The sequence below is a fragment of the Homo sapiens genome, chromosome 2 (assembly GCF_000001405.40).
Source record: "Homo sapiens chromosome 2, GRCh38.p14 Primary Assembly".
Classification (NCBI taxonomy): domain Eukaryota; kingdom Metazoa; phylum Chordata; class Mammalia; order Primates; family Hominidae; genus Homo; species Homo sapiens.
In genome coordinates this window covers 8851610-8863871 of record NC_000002.12, presented here as the reverse complement: position 1 = coordinate 8863871, position 12262 = coordinate 8851610, and the positions used below count along the sequence as shown (strand labels likewise).

Here is a 12262-nt window from a genome sequence, read left to right as displayed (position 1 = left end):
TGTGTTCAGTAGAGATGTGGTTTAAATTAACAAGTGCCTGCACAAGCACAGTACTTATGCCTGGGTACTCCAGAACAGTCCTGGTTTTAAATATTTCAATTCAACAAATCTTTATTTGTTAGGCAAGGGAAACAAACATGAGTAAGATAAAAAGACTCAGCTCCTGAAAGTGAAAGAGTTCACAATTTTATTAAAGACACGGTGGTGTAATCAGACACATGCTGTTCCCTGTGGTGAGGATGAGGAGAGAGAAAGCAGGAACAGCGAGGGCACAGAGGGATGCGGGAAGAACTTCCTACAAGTGTGGGTGCTTGAGCTGAGGTTTGTGTCAGGAGCGTGTCTCGTGAACAGGGCAAGGTAGAGGCAAGCCAGGCTGGGTGGAGTAACAGGTGCGAAGGACAGAGCTGGGGAACAGCACACCCTCCCAGGGGTTCTCTTATCGTCCCTGTGAGCACATTGCCCTATCTTGAATTTACTTCATAAAAAACGGCCCCTATAACGATACGGTGATAAGCAGCCTTTTTTTATAGTGTCCTTTTTTAAATGACAAATTAAACATCTTTATCCCTTGAGATGGCTAGCATACGCTGTCATCTCTTCACAGTGCCTGGCAGTCTCCCCAGTGGCTGCAGATCCTCTGAGCTAATCTGTTGTGTTATTTTTTGTTATTGTTATAATTTAAATTTGATACCTTAGGGAAACTTTATTTTCAGCTGAGTTCTCTATCCCTGTCATAGAAGAATTGTAGACTAAGCACAGTCTATCTGCCGGAAGGAGTAGTGTTATTAGGTCAGTTGAAAGTTATTGATTTTTTTTAAATAAAATAATGTAGGATAAAAGCAACCTTACTCTTTTTGTAAATTGTATAGACTCCCAAATACTAGAAATGATCATTTAAGTTACTATATATACCAATATATATACTATATATACCAATAAGAAGATGAGAATTAACTTTATGTTCCTAAATTTGACACTTAATAGCTATAGCCTCCCTGAGATCATAGAGAAGTGATTGCCTAAGATAAGTTGTATTTGTTTTTCTAGTTACCCTAAATCCTGTCAGGTAATAAAAGAATGATCATTGCAGGCTTTGTAAACTCGGGTCACTCACTCCACTTGGCTCTCCATGTTTTTCATGGTTTCTAGGGTGTGTTATGAACGAACCTCCTTCAGTCCAACTATCCAGACGTTCATTCTCTCTGCCATTTGGCACGGGGTATACCCAGGATATTATCTAACGTTTCTAACAGGGGTGTTAATGACATTAGCAGCAAGAGCTGTAAGTATCAAGAATTTTATTTTACAATTCAATGGTCCACTTGAACTGTTAAAAAGGCTGAGTACATCTCTCTTACAAGGTAGACCCTCTTTCCTTGGTCGTGGTCAGTATTGTCCTTTCCACTAGAAGCGAGGTGTGTACTGCGTGCATGTTTGCTGAGCGCTCACCACGGGCTAGGCTCCATGCCCAGTTCCTGTGAGGAGAAAACACGTTTCTATGTGCCCGGCAGGTAGGAGGCACTCACAAAATGTTACTTTGTCTTTACAGAATTTTCTGAAGGAGAGATAAAAACTGAGTTAAATAAAGATGATCAGAATGGGTAGGTTTATTTTAGAAATGTTTCCTGAAAGCTGTAACCTTTGAGTCCTCTCTCAGATGAAGACTAGGCTGTGCGAGGCCAAGACAGTGGATGAGCCACACTGGAAGAGGACACAGTTCTTTAGAGTATTTGCCTAGACAGAACATAGAGTAATATTTTGGGGAAACAATTGAGAAATTAGGTTGGTGACATGAAAGAAATAAGGAGAAGGATAATTTAGGGTAAGCCCTTGAAAACCAGTTAGAGGAAAGTGACGTGACAAAAACCATGTTTGAACAAGCTGGTAATGGCACTTACAGGTAAGAGGGCTTCATTTAACAAACTAGCAGATATTTACTGTATTCCATTTTGAGGAACTTTGGGGATATATGAGGGAAATTTCAAGAAGTATTAACTAAGGGTAGCTTCCAGTAGTTTGTAGTCTAATTTGGGATAAGGTGTATATGTGTGTACATACCTTATGCATGTGTGTGTGTGCATAAGACAGATTCTGTGGGTGTTATAAATACTAAGTAGCATAGGTGTTTAGAGATGGAAGAAGTCTCTTTGGGTTGGGTTAATTAGAGATGGCCCCATTAGGAAGGTGTTTGGATCTGGACTTTGAGAGATGAAAGTTATTTCAATAGTGAGTGAAGTATAATGGGGAAGAAAATGACATTCTAAGCATCGGAAGGACATTAGCAAAACCCATAATTCTTAGTGGCTAGGCTCTGCTATCTCTTGCCTAGCTCACCACCATGGCAGTCACCTGCTCTTGATTCCATCCTGTTCACCAATGACAAATCCATTTGTCCTGAGGTACGGGCTTTTGGCATTCCATTCTTGCGCTTAAAAACTGTACCTAACTCCCTCCCATAGCAGACAGAATAGGATAGGCTTCTTCCCTACCTGGTGTTCAAGTTCTACCACTGCCCTCCTCCCTTCCCCCATTTACCTCTCTAGAATTACCAGGTATCTATGCATACATGAATTCTCTGCTTCCATTAGATTTACTTGTCATTCCCCAAATACACCATGCACTTGCATATTAGCAAAGCCAAGTTTGTCTTTCACAAATGCAGAGGTTAAATAAGAGTTAAGGATGAAGGTAAACCAAACTTTATTTATATACTATATTTTACCAAATATGATTTAAGGATCTCTAGGCAGTGTTGTCTTAAACTTTTCTTTTTTTTTTGGAAACTTTTATTTTAATACAGAATCTAATCTACAGAAAAGTTGCAAAGAACTTCTATATGCCCTTTACCCAGACTCACCAGTCATTTATGTTTTCCCTGTTACTTCCTCATCTCCCCTCTCTCTGTCTTTTATACACAGTGTGTACAATGTGTATTCGCTTTTTTAGAACGAACTTTATCCATAGTAGCAGTGTACATTCCCACTAGCAACTTAGGAGAGTTTCAGTTACTCTACTCCACATCCTTCCAACAGTTGATATCACCAGTGTAACTGCATAAGTAATGTTAATTTAAAGATACAGCAAATGTTTTTGTTTCTTTATTTCAGATGAGAAATAACTTTAGACATTATTTCATTGAACCTTCCCAACTGAAATTATTTTATGATGTTATAACATGGATAGTAACTCAAGTAGCAATAAGTTACACAGTTGTGCCATTTGTGCTTCTTTCTATAAAACCATCACTCACGTTTTACAGGTAAGTGTTACTCTTAAAACTTTGTCAGTGGGAATAACTCTATTTTCAAAAGAAAGTTTCTTGCTATTGGATAGAATAGAAAAACAGTACCATAGCCACATTTCCTGCTGATAAATGCATTATCAGTTACTTTTTAATTCTGAACCAAGCAAGTCTCAGCGTTTCTCTGTGGAATGACTCATACTGCTCAACCCTCAGATGAGTGATTTAGACAGAGAAATATCAGCCAGGTAACCACTGCCTCAAACCTCTCCTAAATTTAACAAAAAACTTGTTAGCTTAATTGTCCTGAACTTCTTTGGGGAAAAAACCAGCTAACCTCTCCTAAATTTAACAAAAAACTTGTTAGCTTAATTGTCCTGAACTTCTTTGGGGAAAAAACCAGCTATTTACAAAGAATTATTAATTATCTTTTTTTTTTTGAGACGGAATCTTGCTCTGTCGCCCAGGCTGGAGTGCAGTGGTGCAATCTCGCTCGGCTCACTGCAACCTCTGCCTCCCAGGTTCAAGCAATTCTCTGCCTCAGCCTCCCAAGTAGTTGGGATTACAGGCACCCACCACTACACCCGGCTAATTTTTGTTTTTTTTTTTAGTAGAGATGGGGTTTCACCATCTTGGCCAGGCTGGTCTTGAGGCTCCTGACCTCGTGATCCACCCGCCTTGGCCTCCCAAAGTGCTGGGATTACAGGCATGAGCCACCACACCCAGCCTAAGGAAAATAAATTATATTTTATTTGTTCCTTTTCACTGTGTCTTTTATGTTTGATTGATACTGTGGTGATCTGTATATTATAGAAATTGTCTTGTCTCGAATTCTGTATTTTTATAATCTACTTATCTCCTCTCCCTGCCCACCAAATTCCACTTCCCCATATTAGATGGTGATATTTTAGAGATCAAAAACTTTATTCTTTTATAAATTCTTTATTACTCTAGCATTTAGAATGACTTAGCACAGAGTCGTAAAAAAATTATTGAATCAAATATGACAATAATTATACAGGAAGACATTAAATAAGTCCTGCTACAGTTTCCATTTTAACAAAATTAGTACATGTTTAAAAATGTGATTGGGCTGTGGGTTAGATTTTCTATCCCAGGAACTTTGTTCAGAATCACTTGAACTTACAGTTATAGATACAGTTTAGGTTACATTTGGTTTATATAATTTGAGAAATGATGTTTTCAATATTTTTAATAATGTGGCCTTTCTTTGCTTCATGAAAGTAACCATCAAGAAGCAATATTGCTTCTCTGTCACTCCCCTCCGTTAGAATATTTGTAACTTAGAGACAGTAAATAGCAGGTGAGGCCAGACTGGTAAAAGTCTTAACTATCTCCACATTTTCTTTGTTGACTCAACTTTTGATTATCTGGATTGGGGAGATTTTCAGATTGCTACCGGTATTAATATGTACATTTTTGTTTTTATTCTGTTTAACCATGGCCTTCTGACCCTTACAAAGGAATGTAATATGCTATCTAGAAAATCAGGCTTCTAATTAGCCTGGATTTATCCAGTGCTATAAATACCCACTGGCCTACACTGTCAGGTTTCTTCTCCTGAGGGGGAAAAATAAAAGAATAATGTAGTAATGTAGTAAACAAATACATCCTAAGGTGGGCCATGTGACATTTTGACAAGTGTGCAGTTATTAAGGATTATTAATTATCAAGTTTTAATAAACTTTTTCCCTTTTTCTTTTAGCTCCTGGTATTATTGCCTGCACATTCTTGGTATCTTAGTATTATTGTTGTTGCCAGTGAAAAAAACTCAAAGAAGAAAGAATACACATGAAAACATTCAGCTCTCACAATCCAAAAAGTTTGATGAAGGAGAAAATTCTTTGGGACAGAACAGTTTTTCTACAACAAACAATGTTTGCAATCAGAATCAAGAAATAGCCTCGAGACATTCATCACTAAAGCAGTGATCGGGAAGGCTCTGAGGGCTGTTTTTTTTTTTTGATGTTAACAGAAACCAATCTTAGCACCTTTTCAAGGGGTTTGAGTTTGTTGGAAAAGCAGTTAACTGGGGGGAAATGGACAGTTATAGATAAGGAATTTCCTGTACACCAGATTGGAAATGGAGTGAAACAAGCCCTCCCATGCCATGTCTCCGTGGGCCACGCCTTATGTAAGAATATTTCCATATTTCAGTGGGCACTCCCAACCTCAGCACTTGTCCGTAGGGTCACACGCGTGCCCTGTTGCTGAATGTATGTTGCGTATCCCAAGGCACTGAAGAGGTGGAAAAATAATCGTGTCAATCTGGATGATAGAGAGAAATTAACTTTTCCAAATGAATGTCTTGCCTTAAACCCTCTATTTCCTAAAATATTGTTCCTAAATGGTATTTTCAAGTGTAATATTGTGAGAACGCTACTGCAGTAGTTGATGTTGTGTGCTGTAAAGGATTTTAGGAGGAATTTGAAACAGGATATTTAAGAGTGTGGATATTTTTAAAATGCAATAAACATCTCAGTATTTGAAGGGTTTTCTTAAAGTATGTCAAATGACTACAATCCATAGTGAAACTGTAAACAGTAATGGACGCCAAATTATAGGTAGCTGATTTTGCTGGAGAGTTTAATTACCTTGTGCAGTCAAAGAGCGCTTCCAGAAGGAATCTCTTAAAACATAATGAGAGGTTTGGTAATGTGATATTTTAAGCTTATTCTTTTTCTTAAAAGAGAGAGGTGACGAAGGAAGGCAGGAATGAAGAAGCACTGCGTGGCCTCCGGTGGAATGCACGGGGCACAGCCGCGACTCTGCAGGCAGCTTCCCCCCCATGCCAGGGCTCTGCGCCGTCATGTGAGACTTAAAAAAAAAGTTGAATGACTTCGTGATACTTTGGACTTCTAAATTAAATTTATCAGGCATAAATTATGTAGAATTAGAGGCTTTGAAAATAATACTGGTAGGTTGCTCAAAGGTTTTGAAAGAGAAATCGCTAGGTAGGTTACTATCTGGCTAATCCATTTCTTATCCTTGACAATTTAATTCATATTTGGGAAACTTTTAGGGAAATGAAAAATAAAAGTCACTGAGTCTGGGTGACATTTTTTAAGAATAATATAAATTCAGTTTCAAACTCTTCTCACATTAAAATTTTGCTGTGAACTCTTACTAAAATGAGTTTTAGGTTCTGTAAGTGGAAAAATGTGCTTTTATTTTATGGGCCATTTTTACCACAACTAATCTTGCCTTGGATTACTAAGCATCTCCTGCGATCCCACAGAGGACTGTGGTGGCCACAGGAGCTGAAAGCAGAAGAGTGGGATTTGATGCCAGGCAGTGGAGTGGCCTCAGCCCCAGATTGTACCTCCTGCCCTGTAGGAGGGGAGGGGGCAAAGCCTTCTGACTTCACCTTTGTTTGACCTATGTATGGAACTTACTTTTACTTTTTGCCTTAAATTTTTAATGAAATGCAAATTTTCTGTGATGGGGTTCTCTCTCTCTTTTTTTCGGGGGGTGGAGTCACTAATAAATTTGCAAATGAAGTTAAAGACAAGGCAACCATCTGGCTTATGCTATATAATACTTCATTTAAAGAAGAAAGGAAAAGCAAATGCACTTGCAGCTTTTGAGGTCTCAGCAAAAATGGGCATGTGTCTTTTTTGAAGTTTAGAAATATCCTAATCTATTTTTATTTATCTAAAAGTAAGTGTTTTCCGGCTGATAAGGCTAACCCTACCCAGGAAAGGATTGATAACTAAATAAATTTCCTCTGTTTTCCCATGCATTGAAATTATGTTGGCTGAGCATGGTGGCTCACACCTGTAATCCTAGCACTTTGGGAGGCCGAGGTGGGCGGATCACTTGAGGTCAGGAGTTGGAGACCAGCCTGGCCAACGTGGTGAATCCCCGTCTCTACTGAAAACACAAAAATTAGACGGGCATGGTGGCGCACACCTGTAATCCCAGCTACTTGGGAGGCTGAGGCAGGAGAATTGCTTGAACCTGGGAGGTGGAGGTTGCAGTGAGCTAAAATTGTGCCACTGCACTCCAGCCTGGGTGACAGAGGAAGACTCCGTCTCACAAAAAAAAAAAAAGAAAAAAGAAATTATGCCAGCTGTTTAATGTGAGAGAATAGAAAGAATGTTCATGGAATGTACCTGCCCTGTAAAATGTTTGATCATTTTCATTAATGTTGCAGAGAATCCGACTGCTATTAAGAGAAAGTGAACAAATTAAGAATTTAAAAGACAGGTTCAGGCATGTCATAAGTGAAAACAAGAAGGCTTAATACAAACTTGTTGGGTTTTGTTCGTGTGTGTGTGTGTGTGTGTGTGTGTGTTTTTTTTTGGTTCAGCCTATCTAGCCACCTACAAATAATCACATTTCTGTTACCTGAATTTATTTCTCAGCCTGTAAACCTTAGTCACTGTTACCTGTTTCTTGCTCAGTGAATATGATCTTGGCACTGTCATCTAGAAAGCAAGATATTTGATTGGTTTTCTGGTTCCTTCGAAGATAATAATTCCATATCCAGTTTGACTGATTTTCATACCCCTGAATCAACTAGTTATTTTCATGAAATGGTTTTTGGATATCTCTCCTCTAGTTTGGAGAAGTAATAATCACAAAGATTAATATTTTGCTTCTAGTACTTACAGTAGAAGAATTTTAAACTGGTACGTCTACTCCTGTTAAATAGAAAGGGGATTCGTTGTATTATGTGCTTGCTTTTTTTTAATCAATAGAATAAGATTCAATGCATATTTATGTTTTATATTTTCCACTATTCAGGTATCATGAAATCACTCTAGAGATGATCAATCAACATCATATTTATACTTTTGGTTAATTATATACTACTCAGGGAAAAAATGAACAAAAATAACTACTCATCCTTCAATTTCATTTTCTTGAAACAGTAAGAGTATAATTTGGTATGCCTCAGCTGTCACCATTTTATAAGTGGCTCATTCTGTTCTTAAAGTAAGTATTTTTATTGGAACTCAGGGTAATTGGGGGAATTTATTTAGCTTCTAAAATATCCGGCAGGATAGAGAAGATTTATTTGGCTTCAAAAATGTCTGGTGACCACTTCTCTTATTAGCCACTACTGCCCATTTGCTTCAAAAATATATTTATTGGTCTCCACCATGTGTGACACACACAGGATTTCCAAACATACCACTTTTGAGAAAAATGTGCAGTAAAAAGGAGGTTTCTAGAAAGTGACAGTAACTCACATTTAAGCACTAGCTGACCTAGGAGGAGACCTGGATCTTCATTCTGGTTCTGCCTTTCATGAGACTTAAGACTTGGAGGAGCCACCTGTCCTGTAGACCCCAAGTTCCTCAGCCATAAGCAAACGGGTTAATCCTAAGAGTTCAGGACCAGTTGGGTGTCGTGAACGGAGCCATTAGCAAGGTCTGTAGGATTCAAGGACTTGGGCACATTCACAGTCCACACTATTGTCATGGTCATTGACTTACTACTTGAGCTCAAAGCCCTGACATTTCAAAAGGTTGTCATGATAACAGTGAAACCTCTGAATCCCTTAAATCAGAAGGCATGGCAACATACTTTTTCTACTGGCAATAGCTCTTACAATGAGTGTTTCATAATGAAATAGTCTCTGCTGAAGAAAACATGTTTTCCTTTTGCTCTCTCTGCTTTGTTGGTTTCTGTGCTGTGTGGAATTGGAGAAGATATATGCTCTGAAATATTTTATACAGATTACTGACTACTGGACAGGGTTTACCACTATATAACATCTCAAAGTTATTCAAGGATATTTAAAGCATATTTAGTTTAGTTACACCTTATTTTAAACCGCAGAAAACAATAGCTTTAAAATTTTTGCCATTAAAATAATTATAAATTTATACTTTTACTCAAGGACTAGATCACAGTTTTAGGACAAAAATCTCTCCTATTTAAAGTTCATACCTTGTAAGTATTTAGTTTGTATATTCATGAACAAATCTGGACATTTATACTTTTTTTGTTTCCTTATCAACTGTTCACAATTATTAGTTAATTGGTCTTAACAGTTCTACATTATAATTGAAAGAAAAATTACTTGAGAAAATAATTGTTTCAGAATAGTGCCTACTATATCTGTGTCAGCTAAAAATTTGTCCAGAGTTTTAGATATAAGCTAGTATTTTGTGGAGTTTTATCCAGGCGTTAATAGTTCTTCCTGGCTGAAATTTAATATAGGTGCAGAATCCTAAATAACACTGTGAGATGTAATCTTAACTGCCCTCAATACCTTATAAAACTGCTGCATTTAACCCAGTGTGCATTTAATGAGTGGCTGGTCGTTGATACACTCATCTTAGATGCTGAAATTTCTGTTTTCTCCAGCCCTTGTAAAAGTGGGTTTCTTGATGAACGCGTGCTCCCAATGCTGAAGCAAAAGATTTGCATTTAAGGAGAGAAATACACCCTGAAATTTGAGTTTGAAAGATTAGAACATAGAGGGTCTCTACAGTGTTTTTCTGCAACACCAAGTAGTCAAATCTATTTATAGAAACTCTGATTACAACAGAAATTTTAAAATGAAATTTTCCACATCGGTATTTTGTAGGAAAGCTCTTATAATCAATGCTTAAGCTGCTTTTTGAGGCTTTTCTTGTACAGAGGTTGCAGCCAATTACATTTTAATTGGTAGGCTGCTGAATAATGTTTTTGTATGTTTTAAAATAATATTTATTTTAATAGGTTTTTTAACATTATGCAAATCCCAATAAAGAACTGACACGTTCCATAGGCCATTGACTGGGAAATTTTGTGAAACACAGCCTAAATACACAGTTTTTACACCAACTAATTTGTCTTGCCTTTAAAACTGATTATAACTCTTCTTTAAGTACAACTTTTATAAAGAAAAAATACAACACTAAGACTGTATGTTCTGTAAATTATAGTGTGATGACCCATGCAGAACCGCTGTCTGAAGCTTACTCAGCGATTCATAGCCATCTCCAGCCATGTTTTATCAAATCACACACTAAAAATAAATGGAAATGCTACAGTGAAAAACCAAAAGTTACAGAGCAACATAAGTAAAATGACTAGGCAGTTTCTTAGTAACATGTTTGAAATGGGAAAGGTGACTGACTGCCTTTCACCAGAGTCTTAGCTGTTTCACGTTCACTATTTTAGGTTAATTTTCTTGGGAAATCAATTTGAATATTCCCCCCTGTCCTTTTGCATTAAAGGACGAAAATATATGTTGAGAGTTTGACAGACTTTTTAAATATGCCTCTTTCCCAATTTTATGTATTTTTGGTTCTGCGCACACAGATTTATCAATGAAGTACATTTGCCTCTGGCTTTATCACAAGGAAAAAGGAATCAAACATTGAACACAAATGTGTTCCAAACCAGTCTTGTCCATCTTGTCACTTTTATGTGACTGCTCCTCTGAACCAGAAGGGGCACGATAGAAGGCCATAGGAATGAAAGTAAATCATTCAGGTGAAGTGAGAAATTCTTCCATATACAGAGTGAAAATGTGTGATTTCATTCCTGCCTTCCTTTAAACGTTGTCTTGATCTCTGCCTAGTAGTAGTTGAGCCCTCAGTCGCCCAAACATGAGGAGAGACCCAACTCCAGCAGCCAGAATTTAGTATTTACATTTGCCTTCCCAAGTTGAGAATAGAATGTGGTGTTCTGTGCTTTCTGTTTTTATTATTCCAAAATATTTTTTTAAAGAAGTGTTATTTTTCAACAGATTCATAAATTAGTTCCTGATGTACGGTAAATTAAAACTCCCACTGTGTCAGTCAAACTGAGATGTGCTCATTTCATAACCACTCATTTCTAGTCTGTCAGAGCTGCACTGGTGGCTTATTGCTGGTTTTTAAAGGTGTTTTTAACTTACATGTAACATGTTTAGGACATGTTTTTTTTTTCTAATTTGTGTGTCTTTACAACTGATTAAACAGTAGTTTAAAAATATGCGTGTGTGTGTTTGCTAATATCTTAGGCTTTTAATTCCACTTATAGAACAATACTGGCCCTGTTACGAGAGTTAATGGTCATTTTTATTGAAGGATTCTTTAGTAATATGGTGATAATATTCTGAAGAGTCATTGACTCTTTAACTGCTTAAAGATTATTTAAAAGAAACTATTGTCATAAGCACTTTGGAAGGTAATTAAAACAACCTTAACTTAGTGTATAGTATCTGTATTCTCTCCTACAACAGACTTGTCAAGTGAAGAAGATACTGACTTTGCTCAGCTGAAAGGGAACGCCCACCTCCCAGGCCCTGCAGTTAGCTGGTTCGCAGCACTCCTGTGGGAGGACGGGTGTGGCTACTGGGAAGCAGAGCGCTGGGACTCTGCTAGATTTCTGTGTCATCACAGACCTAGAAGAACTTCAGAGCGTGCCTGGGGGCTCTTCCTTTATGCCGTTGTGAACAATTGTAGGGAAACGTCTTCTGTTTTACGCTTGTATAGAGATGCTAGGCTGAGCAAACTCACAGGTCCATTCCTAGTGCTTTCTCTCTGGAAGACCTTAGAATTTCATGCCAGATTTAAGTTACCCCATTTTGAGGTTCAAGACCATGTTGAAACTGGGCCATGACCAAAAGCAGTACAGACTCAGAATCCCTCCTACCCACGTGCTGGGTAAGAAGAATAAGTCATTACCCTTGTCCTCAAGGTGTTGGTGAATAGTGACCATGTGACACCATTAGTGCTTTATTGGAGGCATTCACAAGGGGCCTTGGCAATAGGAGGAGGAGTGAGGACCCAGAGCTGAGTGCGAGAGAGCTCCACAGAGGAGCTGGCTCCTGGATCCCTGAGGAAGGCTTTTCCTGGGCTGAGAAAGAGGAGGTGGGGAGTTAGAGAAAGAAAAGCTACGCCAAGAATTTTATAAAGTATTACACACAAATATAATAAAAAGTGAGTTAAGCAAGTTTAGCTCTATTATGTACCAACAATATGTCTATCTGTTTAATAACATTTCCCACAACTGGGAAAAGGAGTAATAGGAAATTAGCCAATTTTTTAAAACGTCAATGAAATATTTCAC

At 37.8% G+C, this 12262-nt stretch overlaps 1 protein-coding gene across 13 annotated transcripts in view, besides 2 other annotated features; it reads left to right on the top strand.

Annotated features, from left to right (window-relative positions):
* The window catches only part of MBOAT2 (membrane bound glycerophospholipid O-acyltransferase 2), a 150995-nt gene extending 139813 nt beyond the window's left edge, over nucleotides 1-11182 (top strand). For 6 of the 13 annotated variants that reach the window (NR_135604.2, NR_135603.2, NM_001321266.2 and 3 more), the window contains 3 exons: nucleotides 1150-1282; nucleotides 3108-3259; nucleotides 4968-11182. Coding sequence is in view for 4 of the 13 variants with exons in the window: in NM_001321266.2 (NP_001308195.1) it covers nucleotides 1150-1282; nucleotides 3108-3259; nucleotides 4968-5193 (511 nt within the window). In the remaining 9 variants the exon portion in view is untranslated. Of the gene's footprint in view, nucleotides 1-1149; nucleotides 1602-3107; nucleotides 3260-4967 lie in introns of all 13 variants that reach the window. The other 7 variants (NR_135605.2, NR_135600.2, NR_135598.2 and 4 more) reach the window with 4 other exon arrangements.
* Nucleotides 8403-8954: an enhancer, noted in NCBI's record as "NANOG hESC enhancer chr2:8995048-8995599 (GRCh37/hg19 assembly coordinates)". NCBI's record gives its function as "activates a minimal SCP1, AML or CMV promoter by ChIP-STARR-seq in primed H9 embryonic stem cells {active_cell/tissue: H9 hESC(primed)}" and the evidence as "EXISTENCE:reporter gene assay evidence [ECO:0000049][PMID:30033119]".
* Nucleotides 8519-8813: a silencer, noted in NCBI's record as "tiled region #138; K562 Repressive non-DNase unmatched - State 17:Gen3'". NCBI's record gives its function as "represses a minimal TATA promoter and a strong SV40 promoter by Sharpr-MPRA in K562 cells {active_cell/tissue: K562}" and the evidence as "EXISTENCE:reporter gene assay evidence [ECO:0000049][PMID:27701403]".
* Nucleotides 11183-12262: the final 1080 nt, after the last annotated feature.